The sequence below is a fragment of the Homo sapiens genome, chromosome 3, assembly GCF_000001405.40.
Source record: "Homo sapiens chromosome 3, GRCh38.p14 Primary Assembly".
Lineage (NCBI taxonomy): Eukaryota > Metazoa > Chordata > Mammalia > Primates > Hominidae > Homo > Homo sapiens.
The window spans coordinates 76,620,329-76,646,274 of record NC_000003.12 but is presented as its reverse complement, the minus strand read 5'-3'; the positions used below and the strand labels follow the sequence as shown (position 1 = coordinate 76,646,274).

The 25,946-nt window shown below is 37.1% G+C and overlaps 1 protein-coding gene across 29 annotated transcripts in view, besides 1 other annotated feature; it reads right to left on the bottom strand.

Annotated features, from left to right (window-relative positions):
• ROBO2 (roundabout guidance receptor 2) overlaps positions 1 to 25,946 on the bottom strand; it is a 1,743,290-nt gene that overhangs the window by 1,003,690 nt on the left and 713,654 nt on the right. The window lies entirely within an intron of this gene.
• Positions 24,989 to 25,158: an enhancer, noted in NCBI's record as "experimental_71345 CRE fragment used in MPRA reporter constructs". NCBI's record gives its function as "activates a minimal promoter by MPRAs in K562 erythroleukemia cells, with activity observed for both the introgressed and non-introgressed 3:76670353 variant alleles {active_cell/tissue: K562}" and the evidence as "EXISTENCE:reporter gene assay evidence [ECO:0000049][PMID:34662402]".

Below are 25,946 nucleotides of genomic sequence, written 5' to 3'. Positions count from 1 at the left end.
TCCACAGACAAGAAATCCTTTCCACTTAGCCTCCTTCTTCCTAGCTCAGCAACTCAGGCTTTCCCAGGACTACAAGGGTATCTCCAAAGCCATGAAAACTCCAGTCTTACAACTCCTCTTTAACCTGATATAAAACTTAGCACCAATTGACTCTAAATTGATCATCTCATTCTTCTTCCTAAAGTTGTGAAAGAATCTCAATTACCTGAGGAATCACGTCTCGAACACTTAGCCCAGCATTTCAGACTCTCTGACCCAAGCCCAACTCACCTTTTTTATGCCCAAGCCTTGAATACTCTTCAAATCAAACCACTTAAATACAAACAAGACACAGTGTCTTTTTTTGCTTTTCTTCTCTATACAATGGACAGCTCCTTGTACACAATACATGACTTGTGAATAAATGCAGGAAGGAATAAAAAATACATACTGTAGTAATTGTTGAAAGTAATTGTAAGCCTTTTATTGTTTCTGACTTTAAGTTCTTTTCTCTCCTGAATTTCTCTCTTTCCTTATCTATAAAGTCAAATTTTCTCATTCTTTTACCCATTCATTTACTCCAAAAATTTTTGAATGCCTTTAGTCGCCAACATCTTTTTCAAATTCTCTAAAACTACTTCTTCCATGAAGTCTGTCCTGAAATCCTCAGATAACAGTCCTCTCCCTCCCTGCCCACTCTCTTATTCTCTCTCTCTCTGTCTAGACTAAGAGTTCACTATATTACTTTCCTTATAACACTTACATTCATATAGACTGGAAAAATTCTGAAAGGGAAGGACTGTGTTTCGCTCTTGTTTAGCTTCCCAAAATGCTTTGCTGATTTTCGATATCCTCTCAGTTCTCTGAACAAAAAGTACTGCTCTTTAGGCAGAACAAGTTCAGCTGGGCCTAAGAACTTAAGTTCATATATTCTACAGCCTACGGAGATAAACATTTTTATTTCTGTTTCCAATTCATCTGTAATAAAATAGGTTAGAATAGGATTCTACAAAGAAGCACTATGGGAAGTACAAGCTTTTTGAAATCCCCTCATTCTTTAATAAAAGAGAAACATTTTAGGTCTTAAAATAGCAGCAGAGATAATTCATGACCACAGAATTATTGGATTTTAAAATAAATTACCAACCCATTACAAAGATTGCAGAATAAGAATTACCTGTGGACCTTAGTTTTTCTTTTCACCTATTCATGGAGAAGCAATGGAGCACAGAGCCTGTACACATTGATTCCCAAAACAGACATATTTGATTTTTGATTTCTTGCTGTAATTTCCTGGCATTGTGCCCTTAAAATATGACGAATCCTCTTTAATTGGCAGTTTGCTCATAAATGGAACAAGAAAATTCTGAGTGCCCATTTCATAGGGTTGTCATAATGATTAAGATAATGCATGTAAAAAGTTTAGCGTAATGCCTGACATATAGTAAGCATACAATTAATGTAAGCTTTTATTATTATTAACTGCCTCAGCATCTCCCAGTCCACACAAAACTACCCTATACAGCTGTGGATGTGGTTAATGGGATACAGGAATTCACTTCCAAAACAATGTCAGCTCTTGAATGTCAAATGCAGAGAAACAAGCATCTATTACATTTGTAGGGTGGGAGGGAGTGAAGATGGATTATGTGGCCACCAAAAGTATTAATTATGGTGAAGACTTCAAGTTAGTCCTACGGGAAGGTCAGTGCAAGTGGGAATATGAATTCGTGATCAGGAGAAGGCAGAAATACATTTATGTAGCTGGTGATGCTTTGTGAGTGGCTGTAGTTATAATATATGGAGGGCAAGGTACACTGAAAAAAAGAACCCAGAGGGCCCAGCGCAAGATAGAGCTGTGGCAGAGGTTCCAGGGAAAAATCAGGAGTGATTGACATGGGTGAGACTGGTCAAATGCAAATCTCGTTTTAATATGTCTAAGCATATTTTTGTTTGTTTATAGGCTTTTTTACCCCTTATGCTCATTTGTTGAGTTGTCTTGAATTGAATGAATTTTTTTTTAACACCACTTGCTTTTCAAATGTGGATAGTTTCAGTCATGGCAGGGTTTTCCTGCAGAAGCTAAGGGAATGTGCTCAGGGCTACTGCAGCCTTGGTAAGCAAGGGCTGTAAGCATTGATAGTGAAGATAGTGCCTGCCCTTATTGACCTTAATAGAAAAGAATAGAGGAAATGTGTTGTTAGCCAAAGATAAGGTGAGTAGTGTCACATGTAGTTTTTAATATTTAATGACTCTATATGGGTACAATCCATTATGTGACAATTTAATTATATGACAAAAAAGTTTGATAAATAATATTGTGGTAGGACATCTAATTCATTATTTAACATAGAAATCAATACTTTCATAAATCATAGTTCTCCACAGATATACTCTTTTTTTTTTCTCCAAGTGTGCAAACCCCTTATTCAGAATCCATAGGCAATTTATTTTCCAGTCAGGACAAGTTTGAATGGAAATTTAATTGGGCCCAGGACAGCCATAAATTCTATTTACTTTTTTTTTAAACCATTAAATGGAAAGGCTTCTGTTACAAGTACTTTTCAGAAAGGCTTAAAGAATGTCCAGATAGCATTTTCCTATAGTGTATTTTAAGAGCAGAAACAGGGGTAGACATAAATTATGTATTAAGCTAAAACAAAGCACAAAATAATAACACAAACATACTTTTGCACATCCTCCTTTTTCCTGGTTAGACTTCAATGTACATTAAGTAAGATGAAGCTTTTATATTTTAACATTTTCAACAGTCTTAGGTTTGCATTTATTGCAGGACAGTATATACTTATTAAATACATGCTCTCTAATCAGCACTAATTTTACTTGTTTGGATGTCGTATCTTCATCAAAAACGATATTTCTTTCTAGTTTAAAAAACTGTAATCTCAGAGATATTCTTCTCTCATTTAACTTAAATCTCAATCATATTTTGTAACTATCATAATGTATACTCACATAATTCACATTTATCTAGTTTTTAATTTATTAAGAGATTGCTTCTTTTGGCTGAATTGCTATACACAACCTACTTAACCTTATAATTACATACATTGAACAGAAGACAACAATTACATTTTTTTACTAAGTTATTTCTGATTGCTGATTATATATGAGGGAAGGCTTTAAGTTTCTTGCATTCCTGAAAAGAATTACCAGTTTTAAAAACAATTTTCGATGATAAAAAGGACCTCTTTTAATACAGAAAGACCTAAGCTACTAATTATCTATAACAAATTCAGAGCCAGACCACAGCCACCTGAAGCCTTCTTTGCATGTAATAAAATACATTATTAGTAATTTTCCATCTCATTTTAGCAACTTTATTGCATTAGTAACTGTCTGTCATTATTTATTTTATTATTAATGATTTTTTTAGTAATGAAGCATAAAAGTCTTATGGACGCATTTTCATTTTTGAATGCAAATACTTTCAGTTATTTTGTAAGAGCTCACTTAATATTTCATGGTTTTACGTATTTGGTGGACAATTGCTGCAGAAGAATGAAGTTTTCTTGTATCACATATCATTGAAGATTGTAAAGTACTCACTTCTTTTTCCATGGTTATGTTTTATGTAATGTTGTAGTACCCAGCATGTCAAAACACAATTAAGAGCAGGTGTAGGCTGGGCGCGGTGGCTCACACCTGTAACCCCAGCACTTTGGGAGGCCGAGGCGGGCAGATCACCTGAGGTCAGGAGTTTGAGACCAGGCTGACCAACATGCAGAAACCCCGTGTCTACTAAAAATACAAAATTGGCAGGGCGTGGTGGCGCATGCCTGTAATCCCAGGTACTCAGGAGGCTGAGGCAGGAGAATGGCTTGAACCCGGGAGGCAGAATTTGCAGTGAATTGAGATCACGCCATTACACTCCAGCCTGGGCGACAGAGCGAGTCTCCGTCTCAAAAAAAAAAAAAAAAAAAAAAAAAAAAAGCAAGTGTAAATATTTCTGAATTAGCTGAGCTTCAGACCACATCAAATCACAGCGGTCAAGGTCTTGAGCTCTGAAGCCAGACTGTCGGCTCTGGAATGTTCTAACTTGGTGCTCTTGGGCAAGTTTATTAACCTCTCTATTCTTCAGTTTTCTCCTCTGGTAAAAGAGAGTGATGCTATGTATTTCATGGTGTTGTCATAGGACTAAAACAATTTGTTTTAATGTTTAGTTTGGAAATAATTTTAAACTTATAGAAAAATTGCAAAAATAGTACATGGAGTTCACCTAACCCTACGTCAGCTTTTAAAAACTTAACTAACCAGGCTAGTGCAGTGGCTCATGCCTGTATTCCCAACACTTTGGGAGGCTGAGGCAGGAGGATAACTTGAGCCCAAGAGTTCGAGACCATCTCTACAAAATAAAATAAAATAAAAAATTAGCCAGGCATGGTGGTACATGCCTACAGTCCTGGCTGCTCGGGAGGCTGAGGTGGGAGGATGGCCTAAGTCCGGGAGTTTAAAGCTGCAGTGAGCTATAATCACGCCACTGAACTCAGCCTAGGTGATAGAGAGGACTCTGTCTCTATTAAATAAATAAATAAAAACCTACATACCATACTATAATTATCCAGACCAAGAAGTTAAAATTACCATATCACTTTTGTGTAAGCTACAGGCCTTATTAGAAGTTCACCAGCTTTGTGGGTTTTTTTTGTTTTTTGTTTTTCTCAAACATCTCTTTTCTATTCCAGGAATGAATTCAGGATCATATATTGCTTCTGTTCTTGTGCCTCTGCAGTCTCCCTCCAACTTGACACAATTCCTCAGTCCTTCCTTGTCCTTCATGATCTATGTACTTTTGAAAAAAGGTGGTCAGTTATTCCAAGGATGAACTCTTAATCTGGGTTTATCTTAAGTTGGATTTACATGATATTTTCTGATGATTATATTGAGTTTGTGTATTGTTGATAACAATATCACAGAGGTGATATTGTGTTCTGTATGCATCATATCAAAGAGTACCTGATATTGCTATTTCAAGGTTAATTGGAGATCTTAACCTTGATTGCATGGCTAGGGTGATACAGGCTAGATTTCATCCCTGTAATGCTAATGTTATTCAGTTTGTAGTGGATATTTATCTTGGGGTGGTATGTCAAAACTATGCCTGTATCCTGTTTCTCTTCAGACTGTGGGCTACTGATTTTATCATTGATTAGTATATTTTGCCTGCAATAGTTACTGTGGCTTATGTCCAATGGTGATTTTGAATTTTCGTCAGTTCTTCTATATGTATTGATTAGAATATTTTTATAAGGAAGAGTTAATTATTCTGCATTTACATATTTATTCAGCTTTTAATTTATGTTAGACTCATGGGTATTTTATTCTATGGGCATAATCCAGCAGTAGTATTCATTTTGCCGCTCAAATGATCTTGGCTTTGGCCACTGTGCACTCCCTCAGGTTGGCTCTTCTGTCCTTTTTACTTATCTTGATTCTTTTTTTTGAGAACGTCCTTATTTTCCACCATTATGTTGCAGGCTTACTGTATTTGCCTGCTCCAACTCCAGAATTAACCACTTCTCCAAGAAACCCTGGTTCCTTTTATTAAAGAATAATGTGTAGACACCAAGATCTGGGTATTGGATATGTTCACTGCTACTGGGTTGAGTTGCTTTTGTGTTCTCTCAGCCAACACATCCCCCGGCCACACACACACACACACACACACACACACACACTCACACGCAAACACGCATTGATATTTATTTATTTATTTATTTATTTATTTATTTATTATTTTTGAGACGGAGCTTCACTCGTTGCCCAGGCTGGATGGAGTGTCAAGGCCCCATCTTGGCTCACTGCAACCTCCACCTCCCAGATTCAAGTGATTCTGTGGCCTTAGCCTCCCGAGTAGCTGGGATTACAGGCATCTGCCACCACGCCTGACTAATTTTTGTATTTTTAGTAGAGACGAGGTTTCACCGTGTGGGTCAGACTGGTCTCAAACTCCTGACCTCAGGCAATCCGCTCCCCTAGGCTTCCCAAAGTGTTGGGATTACAGGCGTGAGCCACCGCGCCCGGCCCTGATGTTTATTTTGATGTCTATCTGTTTACATATTAAAAATTAAACTGATAGCTCTGATTCTAATCCAGCACCACAAAGTTCATCCTAGCTGTCTCCTTTTCCTTTTGTATGTGACATCTCTGAGCAAAGAATATGGCTCTCATCGTATCGTATATAGTCACTTATTTGTTCAAGTCTAGTACGGAAAGTACAACGCAGTTAAAAAATGCTAAACCTAAAGTAGCTGCAGACTTGCTGAATCATAACCCCGTAAAAATAGATTTTCTTTCTAGAGTACAGTATTTATGCATAGTTATTTTAGTCTTTAGCTTTATAGTATCCAGTCGACACAGACTTATTCAAAGTTAGATTAGCTCTTCACTATATATGTGTTAGGTGGTATTATTTTTCTTATGAATTGACCTACTAGAAGCTTTTAAATGTGTGGGGAAATTTTCCCTTTCGTCCAATTTATGTGGTGTGGTAGTGGACAAAAAGTTACCTTTTAGCCCTATGGTTTCTGTTGGAGTGTCAGCGGAAGAGCATCATGTATTCGTGTGAGATGAATCATGTCTTCACTATTCATTCTCTCCCTCTACCAACCTCTGCATGATTCTTCTTGAGCCTTGTTTCCCCCTTAAAATTGAAGTGTGTACTTTTTAAAGGTCTGTTAGGGAAAGTAGAAATGATGGTATAGACATTTTGTGAACAATAACTATTTGATGAGAAACTGCTCCTCGTTTCATAGTACTAATTTGTTCTCTCAGTTTGGGGATATGTGTGTGTGTGTGTGTGTGTGTGTGAGAGAGTGTAGGTACACTTATATATACACGTATATGTTTATATATGTATTTATGTATGTATGTGTATATATATTTACACACACATACAAACATATGCAGGTATATATGCATGTACATATACATACACACACACATATATACATGTCCATATAGATACATATACACACATACATATATACCTATATGTATATGTACATATAAACATACATATAAATATACATATGCACGTCTGTATATGTAAATATGTACATATACATGCTTATAGATACATATACACATGTATACATATATACACATATGTATACATGCACATATGTATAGATACATATATATTACTTTTATTTAAAGTGAATCACCTTTGTTTGACAAATCCAGTGTGAGATAAACTAGTGCTTCAGGCTTTGTGTCAATTCAAGCAGAGTGTCTGTGTAGTTGGAGTCTTTGGAATAGAAGTGCCAAAAACTTCAAAATAAAGGCAAAAACACTGGAGGGACGTAATGCAGTACATCACAGATATCACCCCAGTGCTTGACAGGCAGGGAGTGACTGTGAGCGCTAAAACTGTGAGTTATCGTCTACTTTCAAGTCTAAAGAAAAGAAACCAATATGTTTGCCATATCCAAAAGCTGAAATACAGAAATGATCTGAATCAATCATAATTTATTCTATTATTTTCCTACATACTCAGAGTAAAAACCAGCCAAATACCTGTTAAAAGATGATAGCAGACAAAAAAGGCTACTGATAAGCTAAAGAACTTCATCACTATAATTTTGAATTTTTAAAAAATAGCAACATTATACCTATTATGGATGATTCTAAACATGCTACGTTATTTCTGGAAACATAGATTGAAACCACTTTTACCCAATAATTTAAAATTTTCAAAAAATAAACATTCTGAATTCATGTACCTGAGCTGATAGTTGAAGATAAAATTGACACAAATCTAACTTAAATATTTTTATTCAAAAATATTTTTGTTACTTTTCTATGTTAACAATTTTAAAAAAAGCCTAATTTGATATTCTGGAGCTAGAGTTAACAGGAATTGTGAGTAATATATTACTTTGAATTATTGACCACCAATTCTTTCTTTGGAATTATTTTGCCCTTCCAATATTTTAAATATTCATGTTTAAAAAATGGAATGAGCAACAGGACTATCAGATAATCAAATTACCATCTTATCAAGGCTAATGATAGGACTGTCTCTTTCATGAATCATCAGTGATTCATTTCACACAGTCACAAAAGCATTCAAATGCATTCATGTGAGGGCTTCCTATAACTGGATAAAAATGTCATCAGATGGTTATTTAGGCAGGATTCATTTGAACAAAGTTGAAAATTTAAGACTGGATCAAGTACATGATAGTATCTTCATGCTTCCAAACACTTTAAAAAATAAACTGCAATTTTTTAAACAAAAAGGAACCCTATGATTTTATGCCACTTAATACTATAAGAAAATGCAAATTAAGTCAGTTCTATTCATCTGAATTAAATTTTTTACAATTAATATGCATATCTCCATAATACTATACAGAGACTCAATAGTATTTCAAGAAACCCTGTTATTTTAGATTCTATGTAAATCTGCTGGATCACAAATCATGTATTATATGAATTTTGGCAGCACTGCTTTTATGAGGACAAAAGCTTAGACTTTCCTAGATTAGTCTTATGGTATAATATAAAAAGCTTTTTGAAAACTTGCTAATGCATAATATAGTTTCTATAATAACCAAATATCTTCTATTACTTAATGGCTCTCCTCTAGCATTTCAAAAGCTCACCTTTCACTGAGTTATATAAAACAGTGTATGTGCCCGGAAGAGCAGTCTGTTATTATTTCAAATTAAAAATCTTGCATGTGGGAAAAACTATACTGAAATAGTGAAATTTAATGTAAAAAATCAGCCTCCACACTCAGTTGGCTCCCCCGCCATATATACACACAACCCCTCCTGTCCCAGGCACTTGGTGGGATATAAGAAGGTGTTTTCCCCCAAGTATTTTTTTTTTCATTTTTTTTTTTATTTCTAGAACTTTATAAAGAAAGAAAGAAAGAAATGCAGGTCTTTGAAGTCTTTGAAAGGGTTCCATTCTCAGAAAATGTAAGTACCTAAGTTTCCATCTAGCCTCCTTCCTAAGTCCAGGTCAGCTCAAATTTGAAGCTCCTGGTGAACCTCAACATCTCCAGGGTTTGTCTCTTGCTAAAGACTTTCTCCTGCTGGTTGCCTCTTAGGTTGCAGACACACAGGGCTTCTCCCTGTGCCACTGCTGCTGTTGTGAACGTTGTGAACACTGCTGTATAGTCCTCCTGACTGGTTCCAAAGTTGGGCTGGAGATGTTAAAATAACCATGTACACCCTAAGGCCCCCCATTTATTTCACACTCTTGTGAAGGCATCTTATCTATTCCTTGCTGCTTGCTCAGTCCCAAAACTCCCCTGGAAATCATCAGGGCTCACTCTCCTTGAATTCACCGCCACAGTTTTCCCCATTGTTGGCCTGCCATCACTCTATTCTACCCACTTTGTCCTCCTTCCCCTCACCCTGGCTGATATCAATACTATTGCTTTACGGGACATCGGAAGATATTAAATCACCTATTGTCACCCTGCCTAGAAGCAACCTGAGTCTCTTGCCTTTGTTACAGTTCCTATGATCTATAAACAACACATTAGGAGCACCACTCTGAAGTCACCTCTAATGTCCTGGGAGCTATGGTTGGGTCCTACTGTGGCTTTTGACAAGCCACCTGTAGGAATCCATTCCAACTTTGATAAGAGACTTATCTAGACTTTTGCTCAAAATTCTGCCTAAGTGTTGCTTCCAAAGACTTGCACCCTGTGTGTCTTTGAATCTGGGTTTCTGGAATCAAGTGAATTTGGACCATTGCTGGGAGTCAGGACTGGGGACTCACAGCTCATGATGATGCTACTCCTGAGTGATGCTGGAAACCATCTTTCTTGAAAAACTCTGCCTCAGCTATGGTTCCGTGAGCTTCTCTTGAATAAATGCCCTTTAATTTGGGGGGCTTGGGGAACCCATGACATTGTCTAATTATCACTAACTGCAACTTCATCTAAAGGTAGTTTACAGCTAAAGATGACAGGCAGATGTCAATATTATTCACCAGCACATGACATAAACAACAGATTCTTATCACTTGCTTTTAAACCAAAGAGATTCAACCTACATTGCCTCCTCTATATCTGAAAATAACACTCATCAATTTTTCTTGTCTCAATGTCATTACTCCTTTGGAATTTATGCAATATTTCTAACGTTTAGTAGGAGAGAATGAGGATAAGTGATGGAAATAAATACATAATATTATGTATAATCATTATTTTTATGATGAAATAGTATCATGTGACTATTATTTTATGAAATATGTCCAAATGATTAAGTAGATAATTAAGTCTCAAATGTAACCTGAATCAACACAAATCATCAACACAAAAACATAATCCTCACAGTTGCTGTTGGTTGTCAGCAGTCAGGCTAGCAGGCTGGGCTGATGCTCTGCTAATTGTCCAACTTTGTGTGGTCCAGAGCAGCCCCAGGGCCTTGCCTCCTCTGCTCAGTTCTGAAGAAGTTTTCTAAGCCAAAGTCAGTGTTCTAGGAAAACATTGGCTACAATAAACAATTCTGTTAAATTCTAAAACTTGAACATTTTTGAAAGCCAAGTTGAATCATGAATCTCCCTGTTTTTGAGCTCGTGAGGAAGTGTCTGCACTCGCATTGGAGGTTTTGAAAATCTCTATCATATAGAAGATGAAAAGTAGCTTTTATGATGCTTGGCCAAGAGTATGTGAGACAAATGCTGACATAGAGGGGAAGTTCAAAGGTAATGAAAGAGTAAGCATGAAAGCTGGTAGAGCTGGTGAGTAAGAAACAGAAAATGAACATTTGCAAAGTACCTCCTGCTTTTCAGACATTGCACTCAGCCATTTACGTACAATATGTCATTCAGTTCTTCCGGCATTCCTATGACATAGGCATTATTTACTCCATTTTACAGACTGGATAGACCAGAGTATATCAAAACCCCAGCAAAGCTATAAGCAAAAGTCAGCGTTCTAATTAGAAGTTGTGAGTTTTATGCAACAAAATCTCTAGCTACCTTAGGCAAAAAAGCCTTATCTATGTGTATGTACATACGAAGATGATAGCATAATTCACAGAATTAGGGAAGCTGAAGATGTAAACTCAGTCAAGAGCCAGACAGCATCAGTGTTTAGGCAGCAGGTACCCTTCAAAAGAGAGGAAATGACTTAGTCTAAGTCATACGGCAGCAAAACCCAAGTAAGAACTCCAATAACAACACCGATATTAGTATTTGTAATAGCAGCGGTCCCCGACATTTTGGCGCTAGGGACAGATTTCATGGAAGACAGTTTTTCCACAGTGGGTTGGGAGCAGATGGTTTCAGGATGAAACTGTTCCACCTCAGATCATCAGATCATCAGGCATTATATTGTCATAAGGAGTGTGCAACCTAGATCCCTTGCATGCGCAATTCACAATAGGGTTCACACTCCTATGAGAATCCAATGCCGCCACTGATCTGGCAGGAGGCAGAGCTCTGGAGGTAATGCTTGTGGGCCTGCTGCGCACCTCCTGCTGCTCACCTCCTGCTGCGTGGCCAGGTTCTAACAGGCCACTTACTGGTATCAGTCTGGTGCTCTGGGGTTGGGGGCTTCTATGTTATAGGATGAAGTGTGTGCCTTGCAATTTCTTTTGTTGAAGCCCTAACCTCTAGCACTTTTAAGTGTGACTGTGTTTGGAGATAGAGCCTTTGAAGAGGTGATTAATCAAAAATGAGGCCATTAGAGTGGTCCTTAATTCAATCTGACTGATGTCCTTTTTTTTTTTTTCTCTTTGAGACGAAGTCTCACTTTGTTGCCCAGGCTGGAGTGCAGTGGCGCGATCTCGGCTCACTGCAACCCCTGCCTCCCAGGTTCAAGCGATTCTCCTGCCTCAGCCTCCTGAGTAGCTGGGATTACAGGTACACGCCACCACACCTGGCTAATTTTTGTTGTTTTAGTAGAGACGGGGTTTCACCATGTTGGCCAGGCTGGTCTGGAACTCCTGACCTCAAGTGATCTGCCTGCCTCGGCTTCCCAAAGTGCTGGGATTACAGGCATAAGCCACTGTGCCAGCCTGATGTCCTTTTAAGAAGAGGAAATTCAGACCCACAAAAGTGAAACCAGGGATGCAGGAGCACAGAAGGAAGACCATGTGAGGACACAGTGAGAAGGCAGCTATCTGCAAGCCAAGGAGAAAAGCCGCAAAGAAATTCAACCTTGATTTTTTGCTCGCTAGCTTGCTGAACTGTGAGAAAATAAATTTCTGTTGTTTAAGCCATCCAATCTGTGGTATTTTGTGATTAGCATAATTGTGATGTTAGCAAATGAATACAGTATTCTTTCCATTACATTATCTTTTAAATTAATGACTCATTTAAAAATGATTTTGCAAGGCCAATGTTGCACACAAATGCATCAATTGTAGGCAACCAGTGATGAGTTGACTCTCAGTCAGTAACGCTTGTTGGGGTTATCAGTGAGGCATAGTAGTTAGAAGCTGAGGCTGTGGGCACCCAGTGCAAATCCCAGCTCTGCTACTTATTAGCTGGTTGTTCTTGATTAAATTACATAAGCATTCTCTGCCTTAATTCCTCATCTATAAAGTGGGGATAATAATTGTATCTACGTCATAGAATTGTTGTGCAGATTAATCCACATAAAGCATTTAGGACATGCCTGGCGTAGACTATTTCCCTACATTCCATGGAAGAAAGTGCTTGGGAAACCATTTCTTGGTGTAGTGAATTCAACCAGGCCATGTTCCCAGGTCACTATTTGCTTATTTGGTTGGTGTTTTCAACAAAGACTTTTAAAACTCTAGGAGAGCTTACCTTTCTCATCTTCTTTCTCCTTCGTGTCTTTTTCTTTTTGTGAATGATGAGAATGTGGATGAGATCTTTCCAATAGACATTTTGCTTTCATTCATTTTCCACTCATTTCCTCTCCACATTTTACCCCAAAATAAAAGTGACTCTTTTGACCTTGACTCACAATACATTCACAAATATCAGGGGATCTTCTGCAGCTACCAGCTATGGCTCTCAAGTACTTGCTTGCCTGATTTCATGTGCGGGGGTGGGGAGATAAATAAATAAGAAAATATTTGTTTTTATTGCTATGATTCTTAGAGCTCAAAACAGCCTGTTTTATAAATCATCTTTCTTTTAAATTTTGATATAATAAATACTATTAAAAGCAGTACCTGGTATTGACACATTTAAAAATTCTCTTCTTAGTAATTTCAAGCTATATATTCCCATTGCAATTCTTACTTTGAAAGTATGGGTTTAATTAGAATTACAATAATCCTGTAAACATGTTGTGACATCTTTCCCTGTAGGCTAATCAAGTAATACTCATCTGAAAGGCGCAATGCTATAATGCATTTTTCTTTGTCCTTTCAGCAAGCAGAATAAAAAATGTATTTTCCACAATCTATTTAACTAGATATTTGATTAACACATTTTTCATTGTATTGTTATCGTGACAGCAATGGATCCTCCAGCAATTTAGCATAATATATGAGGAGATGGATCATTCTAATGTGTTGGTTATGTTTTCCTCACAAAAAATTAGACATCCCAATGTAGAGGACTTATTGGATGACTTTTTAGTACATATTACTTATGTTTTTGAAATTCGTTAAATGAGAAATCTACCCTTGTGATTTATTTCTAGTTAGTATACTATGTAAATTAAAATGATTTAAATGATCTAGATCGCATATTGATAAGATATTCTTAATGTGACAGTATGAATCTTTTCTTGATTTATCATTTCCAGCTTCTACTTTTCCTTTCTTTGATGATTTTCTATTGTTTTACAAATTTAATGACTTTACTACTATGACATTTGGTAAGAATTGTGCTCTAACTTACCTCACAATGAGGCAACCTTCTTTAGACACCATTCATTACACTCAGGTAGCCCCTAATGCCAGATAAATGCATTAACAGGTAAGGCTTGAGACCCTTCCTTGATGTACTTAAACAGGCTAATGCACAGAAGCAAGCAAGGGTGTGTGACAGCTCAGCTGTGACAAAGGAACGAAATCTATCATTTCCTTCCCAAGGTCTATTTGCCAAGTGCTCAGTGAAAACTTATGGGTAGCCTCATTTACAGATGAGGACATTATAGGATTCTACTGAAGTTAAGTGACTTCTCCAATGTTTCCCTGCAAGCTAGTGACAATTCATGTTTATAACTCACAGTCCCACTTTACGTTTCTTTGCTAAGCCTGCTGAATGATTTCAACTCCTAGGGCAGAGAAAGGCGGTACAATATCAGAGTCTCACATCAACTCACTATTAGGATGTGTCAAATAAATGAATGAATTAATACATGAAGAAACAGACTTTTATTCAGTAGTTTGCTAAACTATTTCCAGATAATGATATGTTGGTATTTGCTGAAGTAATGCCTTATTATTTTAATCCAAACCTGCTTGTTACTGCAGAGAGAGTGAACATTCTTTCTTTCCTGGCTGGCTGGTTGGCTAACAGCTATTTCTCATCATCTGTACACATCCGCCAGTACTTAAAGTTACTTATCTACTCCTCCTCTTCATTCTAGGGAGGTGGGATTGCTAATCAACCGACCAAGAAGCCAGGTTTAACAATAATTGTGGTTTTTCCAATGCCCTATAGCCAGTTGCCATTAAGAAGAGACATCTGACACCCTGACCATGCTCTAACTCTATGCAAAAGGATTTTTTCCATTTTCTTTTTAAAATATGCCTTTCCAAACCAGTCCTGATTTCATAGGGATCCAGGCTTACGATCTTATGTTTACAATGAAGGCATATTTTCTGCTTTTCTTTTTCTTTTTTTCCCAGATTCAGAACTTGAATAATACCCTCTTTGATCCATCTCAAATGCTGTGTGCTTATTGTGCCATGCCCTATGCCCTTGGGCTGCAAAATACTTACTTTTTTTTTTCTACCCGTACACTAGAGAATGGGAACCTTTTCATTATTGTCCAAGCAAGGGAATCTTTACCAGAGGCTCCCGCATTTTAACGCCAACAAAAGATGACAAGATTTTTTTCCCAAAATATAGCAAGATTGTTTCTAACCTAAACTGAGCATTGTTACATAAACTACTGTTCTGTAACTTGGATTCTGAAAGATATTCATTTTAATATTAGCATTTTTCCACTGAATAAAATTAAAATTAGATTTAATATTTCCTTTAAATATCATAAAATGTACTATAGCCTGCCTTTTTCTCAATTATATTTATTATTTTACCTTATTTTCCAATAATTCTGGAAATAAAAGAGGTTTAGATATTAAAGTCATAATGGATACCATTAACTCTTTGCTGAAAGATACAGCTAAATTCTCGCACATTCAGCCCAGCACACATGCACTCTGGATGGTTACTTTCTGACTTTAAATTCAGGATGTGAATTTAGACATCGAAGAGAAATGTGTTCCAGATTTGTCCCATTTTCCCCTTCTTTGCACCTCTTGTACAAAGTTACTGAATTTAATTTTAGGATTCAGTTTTAGGATAACCACGGTTTAAGAAATACATAATAGAGAGGTAGATTTAGCTGCAGATATTCTATCTTCAGATTATCTGTGTTTTTAAAAAAACATTTATTTTTTAAAAGATATTGATCTTACACACCTGGAGTCATTTTTAACAAGCACTTCAAATTTTTTAATCTTTGTCAATTTCTCCATTCACCACTCAGGTGGCTTAGCTTAAAATCTCTGCATGATACAGTAAGTTTTCACCTAACATCATCCATAGGTTCTTAGAAACTTCTACCTTAAATGAAACAATGTATACTGAAACCAATTTTTACCATACGGTAATTGATATAAATAGGAGTTAAGTTCCTGCAGCATATTTCTGGTCACATAAATTTCACAAACTTCTAAATAAAGACCAAAACATGTCTAATATTAAACATTGAAATAAATGTGAGCTATACATACATTTAAGAGAGATTAGCAAATACAAGTGGCACAATTATTTACTTGCTTATTCCAGTTCAAGTTCCTGAGTGGCCAGAGCCATCTCAGGGCACAAGCTCAGGGCAGGAACCAACCCTGGACAGGACACCACCCCACTGCAGGGCACGCTCACACACACCCACACTCATGCAGACATGAACGACGTAGATACCTAACATGCACATCTTTGTGATGTGGAAGGAAACCCAGCCGACATAGAGAGAACATGCAAACTCTACACAGACTATGGCCCTAGCCAGTAATCAATGTTTTCTCTCATCAACATTATAACAAAATGACATTATTTGAGGAGCTGCTGTACTAGAAGAAGAATGCAAACCAAAGTCAGCCAAGCGGGGAGGCAGCAGCAAAAAACAACTACTCAGGGAACGGGTGCCACCTGATTCTATGTCAAAAGAGATGGAGAAAGGTGAGGAAACACAGAATGGAGGCACAGCAAGCATGTCATCATGGCATTGGCAACCTCCAGAATTCTCAGAAAAGTATGGTAAGTTGTTTGGAAAGGGGTGTTGATGATGTACTTGCATAGACAGCAAATGGGCTGTTTTCACTTAGATTATATTACTAAGCAAGTTTGCTGATAATACATTTATTCTCTAAAGATGTACTTATTCAAAATTTACTAAAGACTGGTGTGATGGTTAATATTGAGTGTCAATTTGATTGGATTGAAGGGTGCAACGTATTGTTTCTGGGCGTGTCTGTGAGGATGCTGTCAAAGGGGTTTAACATTTGAGTCAGTGGATGGGAAAGGCAGATTCACCCTCAATCTAGATGGGCATCATCGAATCAACTGCCAGCATGGCCAGAATAAAAGCAGGCAGAAGAACATGGAAAGACTAGACGGGTTTAGTCTTTTGGCCTGCATCTTTCTGCATGCAGGATGCTTCCTGTCCTCAGATATTGGACTCCAAGTTCTTCAGCTTTGGAACTTGGACTGGCTTCTTTGCTCCTCAGCTTGCAGAGGGCCTATTGTGGGACCCCATCTTGTGATTATGTGAATCAACACTCCTTAATAAACTCCTCTTAATGTAGACATCTATTAGTTCTGTCCCTCTAGAGAACCCTGACTAATGCAGTTGGAAAAAAAATTAGTTGTACACAATAAAGAAAATTGTTACTATATTTTGGTTGCTTTGAAGAAGAACAGTGTGGATTTTGGGTGGATTTACTCTCACCCTCCTTACATCCAAGTGTTTTTTTGAACCATTTGTGTCATTGAGCACAACCAGATATGCTAGTTTTGAGAATCTAGTTACTTTTTCTCAGTTTCAGCCCTTTTCCAAATGTGTGATGTTGGTTTCAAGGGAACCTGGATGAGAGATGGCACAGTCAGTGCAATTGCCAAGATTGCAACAACACCAGTTCTACAAAAGTGACGCTATATTATGCTTAGTATACCTTCAACATATTTGGAATGATGAGTACCAACGTACAACTTCTAGAATATAGACTTCTACTCAACAACTTACATTATGTTTGTTAGATACATAATTGACTATATTTCAAAAACTCTTAAACTATACATTGCCCTGTCTTTTATTTATGGAGGAAATTCTGTGAGACTACAAATTGGAAAACTGAAACAGATGAACAATGGCAAAAACAAAACTAGTAGAATTGATAGATGTGAGTCACAAAACAAATACATTTCATCTGGAAGAAAAGAATCACTTTTGACTACATTTTCACAGCTGTTTAAAGAGAAGCATATCAGATAACATTAGATACAACTTTTTAGACCAGTGAGGAAAAAAAAGTTTCCTTTTCAGAGAGGCATGAAATGAGATAGTAGGTAAGACTGGATTTGCTTCTTGAAATTTGAATTTTCACACCTTTAATCTCAGCAGTTTGGGAGCTGAAGGTGATTCTTTGAGCCCAGGAGTTTAGGACAAGCCTGGACAACATAGCAAGACCCCATCTCTAAAAAAAAAAAAAAAAACCTAAAAATTAGTGGATAGCGAGTGACTGTAGTCCCAGCTACTCTGGAGGCTGTAGTGTGAGGGTCACTTGAGCCTAGGAGTTTGGGGTTGCGGAGTTTGGGGTTGCGGTAAGCTGTGATCGTGCCACTGTACTCCAGCCTGGGTGGCAGAGTGAGATCCTGTCTCAATAAAAAAAAGAAAGAAAAAAACACACGTTGTTTTTATCTTAGCAGTCGACAAGTATTAAGTGGGAACTGAAAAAGGACAAAAGATATCTCTAGTGAATAAAAATCAAGTAGCAGGCACACTTATTCTACTTTCTACTTAGATGTATTTAAAGCTTAGAAACCATTCTGGCATGAGAACTCAAAACAAAAGCTTTATTTTTTTATGACTTAAGTCACCTAATATACCTTTTTTCCTTAGCCAAAGGACTTAAAACTACTCTTGTTATAATATATTCAAAGTAACTAATTTATAGTCATCAACCATTCCTGCCATTTTTGGGTATTCATTTGTTTCTAGACTTAGTTTTAGGATTATGGCCAAAATTCACATACATAGGAAAATATTAAACAAGAAAAAAATCCCTTAAAACACACAAGCATTAATTTCATGTTCAGAGACATCATTTGCTACACTCCCACTGCAGAAATAATTAATACAGGCAGACAAGTGAGCTTTCCCGAGATGCACTTCATTTATACATTGAACTCCTATTACATTCCTCTTCCCTTCCAAACACATCCTCTCAGTGTTCATTGCACTTTTTTTCCTTATTGCTTTCTGAAAAATCAAATAAAACAGACTTTCAAAGAAATTGAAGCTTAGTAAATGTAAATTTTATTATTTATGCACAAGGATTCTTAGCTATGTATTAACAGTTTAAGGGATTAGAGAGTTGTTTCATCTTATAAATTTGTACTGCTGGGATATGACAGTTGATGTGAGACATTCCTTAGCAGCCATCATCTGCATGCTAAAGCCAGTTGCTTCCATACGCGAACAATATGCCTATCTGGGGGCACAGCTAAACAGTTATCTTTATCCCTTACATCATGAATATGCGGGATTCTCTGGCTCTCTCTGGAACCGTTAGACACAACCCATTTAGATTTGCTCTTTGAGGTGAACTACAAAGCTCAAATGAAGATTTCATACTTCAATGACTGAAGCTCCAATGTAGAGGGTGAGGTTACAGTGTAGAGAGAGTAAAATTAAGCCCCATAAGAGAGTCCATTAATTCAAAAGAAGAATGCAAACTAAGTAAGGTGAAGGAAGTAACAACCAAACTGTGCTTATCTATGCATGTTAAACTTGGAAAGTATGAGAAATATTTTGCACTGATATAATGGGTAACTGTCACATCAAGAAATATATCCACTACCTCTACAAGTTATTTTAGCCCTTTCATCTCCTTGAATAGAGGCATATTAGATTGTCCCTTAAGAATCTAAATGACAGGGCTGGGCATGGTGGCTCACGCCTGTAATCCCAGCACTTTGGGAGGCCGAGGCGGGCGGACCACAAGGTCAGGAGATTGAGACCATCCTGGCGAAAATGGTGAAACTTCGTCTCCACTAAAATACAAAAAATTAGCTGGGTGTGGTGGTGGCGCCTGTAGTCCCAGCTACTCGGGAGGCTGAGGCAGGAGAATGACGTGAACCCGGGAGGCGGAACTTGCAGTGAGCAGAGATCACGCCACTGCACTCCAGCCTGGGCGACAGAGTGAGACTCCGTCTCAAAAGAAAAAAAAAAAGATAAAAGATTCTAAATGACAATAAGTTAAGAAAGAGAATACACTATTTCCTAAGCTGATAATGGATAGAGATGTTGGCTTTATTGCTGTTATCACTGTAATTATTTAAACTATACATGCTATGTATCATGTCATTGACCTAGCAGCAACATTAGACATGTTTGATCACTCCTTCCACAAAATACTTCTTTATCTCTCCTCATTTTCTTGGTACTTTTTTGATCCCTTCTCAGCAATCTCATTTGGGCAGGTGCTACTTTATTTTCCATCAGCCTAAACTCATCTCTGTTTTGCTCTGTGTCTTCTCTATGTATTGTCTTCTCCAGGCTCAGCCTCCAGATATGTTTGCTATACTGGAAACTTCCCAGTTTATATCTCTACCGCACACCACTCCCCAGAAGTCCAGATTTATATATACAACTTCTGCTTACACCTTCACATAGTGAAAACAACAATCTTAACATCTAAAACCCTGACTCCTGATCTTCTCCCTCAAAACCATTTTATGACAGTGTTTTCCATTTCAATACATGGTGACCCCATCCTTTCAGTTGCTGAAACAAAAACTTTGGAATTATCTTATTCTTAAAGTCTTCTGCTTCTGGATCTATTAGATCTATCATCCAAACTTTGTTGACACAATCTGAGAATACAAGCTGATGCAAAGTACCTCTCACTATCTCTGCTACTCCCACACTGGGCTATTGCAATAATCTAACTTTCACCTGGATCATGTCACTGGATCAGTTGCCTGCTTTGACCTTTGCCCTTACCCTTCACTCTTTTTAACACACCAAAGGCAATAGAATCCTTCGAAAAAAAAATCACATTTTCATCTGTTAAAATCTCTCAGTGGTTTCCCATTTCCCTGAGTAAGAACCAAAGGTTGTATATTGGCTTACAAGTCCTGTATGATACGACTCCCTTTTCCCCCACAACGTTGCGCTTCCTGCTAATATGCCTTTTATTTGCCAGCTGTACTGATTCCTTTGCTGTCCCTCAAACATGTCAAGCATATTGAAGTTCTGGAGCTTTTGCTCTGCCAGGAATATCTTTTTCTCATAGATCCACGTAACTTCCTCCTTTACTTCCTTTTTTAGCCTTCTCTAACCACCCTACTTAAAGCTCCCTCTTCTTGCATTTTCCAAACTTTTTGATATTTTTTTTTTCCTGCTGCACGTAATACCACCGAATTCAAAACATATTTTCCTTGATTATTTGCTTATTTTTTTGGCCCCCATAGTACATGTATGCTTTACAAAAAATGACATCTGGCTGTGTTGTTTGCTGCAGTAACTCTGGTGCCTAGAATAGAAACTCGCACAATATTGAGTAAGTTGTTTAATACATTTCATGTAGTCTTTAGTTATATGTTTTACAATACAGGCTTCTTAAAAAGAAGCTAATATAAACATGGTGAGTAGAAAATGAAAAAAAGCCGTGGTTTCCACACACAAGCTGGCTTGAGAGATTTATGATTTCTTTGGCTAAAGATTAAATTCTGCTATATAACAGGGAATTTTATTAAATTAGTATTTTACATCCACCTTTTTGGCATCATGGGGACAAATCAGTGTACAAAATTGATAGATCTAAGTTCTGTTATTTTACTAGAAAAAAATGAGGCGAGGAGATGGATTAGGGCAACTGCATTAAATGGATTATGACGGGAAAAGATAAATGCAAACTTGTGATTAGAAGCTATAGCATTAGAAATGATTTAGAACCGCATGGCTAAACCCCCAAATATTACAATTTATAAGACTTACTATTTATTTAGTCATCTTGGTGGTTGGACTAGTAGACAAGTATTTTTCAAAATTCATTTTCCAGATATCACAGTTTTCTATAAGGATATTCTTTTTTTTTTTTTTTTTTTTTTTTTTTTTTTTTTTTTTGAGACGGAGTCTCACTCTGTCACTCAGGCTGGAAAGAATAGCGCGATCTCAGTTCACTGCAAGCTCAGCCTCCCAGGTGCAAGCGATTCTCCTCCCTCAGCCTCCTGAGCAGCTGGGATTACAGGGATGCCACCATGCCCGGCTAATTTTTTGTATTTTTAGTAGAGACGGGGTTTCACCACGTTGGCCAGGCTGGTGGCAAACTCCTAACCTCAGGCGATCCGCCCGCCTCGGCTTTCCAAAGTTCTGGGATTACAGGTGTGAGCCCACCGCGCCCGGCCTCTATAAAGACATTCTAATGTACATTTGTGATGCTTTCTGGGCAATGAGAAATACCATTTCTTGGGGGGAAATTTCAAGAGTTATGAATTAATATAAAAGAGAAAGCCTGGCTCTATAAGCACCTTGAAGAGGAAAACATACTCATGTGACTTGAGGCTACCAATCAGATTCACCCAAACATAACTTTGACCCGGAAGGGACTCAGCTGAGAAAACAAGCACCACTTACCAGGTTCTGCCCGTTCTTGACCCTAAGACTAAATTTAAAAACGTGTGGTAAAGGTAAGCAATCCTTATATCCTAAATTCTTTGTTGCAATTTATGACATGTGAAATAAAAACTTATAAAAGAGTGTAATGGTTGAAATTAATACATTAGCAGTTAATTCTTACACAATTATGTTCACGTATTCATAATCTTCTTCAGGTGAGAACATAATCGCTTTTTTTTTAATGGAGAAAGGAAAGAGAGTATTCTTATAATTCTGTATAAAACCAACAGCCCATTACACAGTCCTGGGTGTACAAGTTCTCAAAAGATAGTTGTTGACTGATAAAATATATAAGTTATACTAAATGTAGTCTTATGAGAAAGGAAGATGTCAGAGGCCTCATTATCATTGAAAGAGCAAAAATTTTGTCACCCAGTTGTACTGTACAACCTTGAAAATCCCCTAAACTTGACTTTGCTTCAATTTTATCTTCTGTAAAATGGGAATAATGATGCCAACATTACAAAGTTGAGATAATGAAACTAAAAATGCACTTTAAAAGAGTCGGCACCTAGTGGGTACTCAATGCAAATGGTATCTAAACCTTATGTTGTTAAAGATTTCAGAATAATGTAGGTTCTGGAAGTATAGACAAAATTGTGCCTGTTTAAGGCTGCAGTGCATGACGTATCTAATTACTTGCAAAGATACTTTAGAGTGTAGGTTGGATAAAATGTGTCAGACACATTTTAAATCCTTATTACGTGAGGCTAAAATTGCTGGTATGCATTAGTAAATACTTAAGGACTTGGTCCTGGATGCTTCCGTCTGTATTAGCACATAAAGCATGTAATAGAATGCAAATTATTTAACAGCAATTTAGCCATGATTTGCAGAGTAATAATATCTGTTTCTACCAAGGTTACTCTAATTAGAACCAATGAGACTCATTAAACCTCAAAAACCCATCTAGTGCACCAATGCCTCAGCAGACAAAAATAAACCCGAGCACATTGGCAAGATAGCTCTTCTGTTCTTAGCTACCTGGAAAAAAGTTATTTCTGTAGTGTTTCTCTAGCATTTTGTGTCCCTCAGTACACCCCAAATGTGCATAAAAATGCTCTAGTCAATGTACATACTGAAAAAGTATTTAAGCCTAAAGTTTTGTTATTCAGTCGCAAGTGTATGGGAGCACAGTAGAAAAAGCCATAACTACTTTTACGCCTGAAAGATTTCAGATAGTACATGCATTGATGCTTCACTGGTTCTTGAGTGAAGAGAGTAGATAGTACCAGAGGAGTGAGAGAGAAAGGGTAAGATTGCAAGATCTGTGGAGCATGGCTGAAATACACAGCGGAGGAAGGCTCTCACATCGGGGAAGCCTGTCACTGGATATCAGGACCTCAGCGCCTGACTTGGATTCAATGGTAGGATTTTCTTTATTGACAGGTGCCTGCAACATATGTAGTTTCTTGGCACTCTTTTGGGAATAGAAACCACATTGTAAGCCAAGTAATAAAGTATACATAGAAGCTTGACAAGTGGATAGGAGAGAGATTGTAGGCAAAGAAACAATATGTGCAAGTTCTCAGAGGTTTGGAAAGAGAACAGCACATTTGGGGAGATCCTGGTGGTCAATGACTGGGGCAGAGCAGGCATTAAGGAAATGATGGGGATTGAAACTGGAAAGACAGATTTGGACCAGGCAATGAAGAATCTTGCATTTTGAACTACCTGGCTCTTTAGTTTTTTGAATGACTCCTGTTGTAGATAAAGTGATGGGTGATAGGGGATGGGACTGTTAAATAGAACAATAAGATAGAATAAATTTTTCATTTTTGAGACAGGGTCTTGCTCTTTTGCTCCAGCTGGAGGGCAGTGGCATGATCATGGCTCATGCTATCCTTGAACTCCTGGGCTCAAGCAATCCTCCCACCTTAGCCTCCCAAGTAGCTGGGACTACAGGTATGCACCACTACACCTGGCTATGTTTTCTTTCTTTCTTTCTTTCTTTCTTTCTTTCTTTCTTTCTTTCTTTCTTTCTTTCTTTCTTTCTTTCTTTCTTTCTTCCTTCCTTCCTTCCTTCCTTCCTTCCTTCCTTCCTTCCTTCCTTTCTTTTTTTTAGTAGATATGAGGTCTTGCTATGTTGTCCAGGCTAGTCGCAAACTCTAGAGCCCAATCAGTCCTCCTGCCTCAGCCTCCCAAGGTACTGGGATTACACACATGAGCCACAAGAATAGATCTTATTCACAAAGAAGGATACAAGGTCAGTATAGGGTCTTAAGGAGACTAAGGGATGGTTTGAATAAGTGGTATAATAAAGAAGGAATGGGAGAGGTCAAACCCAAACAAGAAAGCATATATGAACCACACGGCTTACAATGGTGTCACTGAGATATTTGTATAGTTAATCATTTGACAAGCAGTTCATCATAATTAAAATTTTTGTTTGGCATTTTATTATGCATTACTGCCATACTGTGGAGTCTGTATTTGTGTACAGTTTAATTTCATAAACTAGATTTAAAATAATTTTATTTTTAAAATCTCCCTGAATTAAAACTAATAGCAGTAACAAGTACTTATGTGGTACCTATTTTTCAGGAACTATTTTCTAAGTGGTTAACAAATATTAACTCATTTAAACCTCACAGTAACACATATGAAGTGGGTGCTATTATTATTTTCATTTACAGATGAGGAACTCAGGGTTCAGAAAAGTTAAGAATTTGTCCAAGTTTTCACACTTGGTAGATGGTGAAGTTAGGATTTGAATTCAATATCCAGTAGTTCTTAATAGGTCATAAAGATGTTCAAAGGACTTGGAATCATCAGAGCTATTCACCATTCTTGGCTTTACCAGCCTTTTAAGATGTGGTATTTGCAGAGATTTGGGTAAAACCATTTTCAGCACATAATGCAAAGCAGAATGCAGTTATGCACTGAATGTATAGCCTTCTGAGATCTTAACAGACCAAAGCGTGTAAGAATCTTCTATCTGCCAAAAAGGATATGAGTACACACAGCAATACTTATTTACAAACAGTAAAATCCCACAATGCACTGTAAGTAAAGCAATAAAATGACATGCCACACAAATCTGTAACATACAACCATTTAATAAAGAATAAATGATCAGCTGGAATTATTCCCTTGCCTGAAAAAAAAAAAAAGCATAAACTAAAAAAGATATGTGTATGTGTTTAGGAGGTTTCCTTCTGGTGAAATGAGTATTAAAACTTTTGTATGTCCCCTTCCCCTCTCAGTGACCTTTCAAGGACTGAAAATCGCAACAGAGTCAGCCGTGCACATAAGTGACTTTCTCCTGTTCATTCCTATACATGATGTTTCTAATGATTTGGATATTTCTTTATACATCTAAAATTAAAAACAAAACATGAAACCATTTAGGTTTAGCAGTTGCCTCGGTAGCACGTGCATACTACTCCAATAGTTAGAGAGTATTTTATTTTGACTGTTAGTATGTACCCAAGACCGGCGTTTTGTTATTTCTTACTTATAATATAGAATTGGAACTGGTCCCTAAGCTTTAGTATTTATAAGCTAGTTAAGAACCCATAAATTTTTGCCACTGGCCATAATGTATAGAAATAGCTATACAGATATGTACATATAAACTATATGTATTATTTCATAACTTTGTATCTATTGGTGACCGAGCAGTTTTAAAAAGACAAATATTAAACACATAAAAATTAGTATTGGGTAATTAATTGATATATTTTATCAGGTTTACCCCTAATTTTATATTTCTATGCTGAATTAGGAGCTAAAATATTCTCAGTCATGTAAAATACAGCAACTACTAACTCCTAGAATGCGGTTTAGATGAAAGTTACATCCTCGAACATACCATTTTTTTTGCTCCACGATAAACCTTTTATTTACGAATGATTTTTCGTTATCCATAGAAAATGCAAATGATGCAAGTTAATCTCATTCAAGATTAATCTTC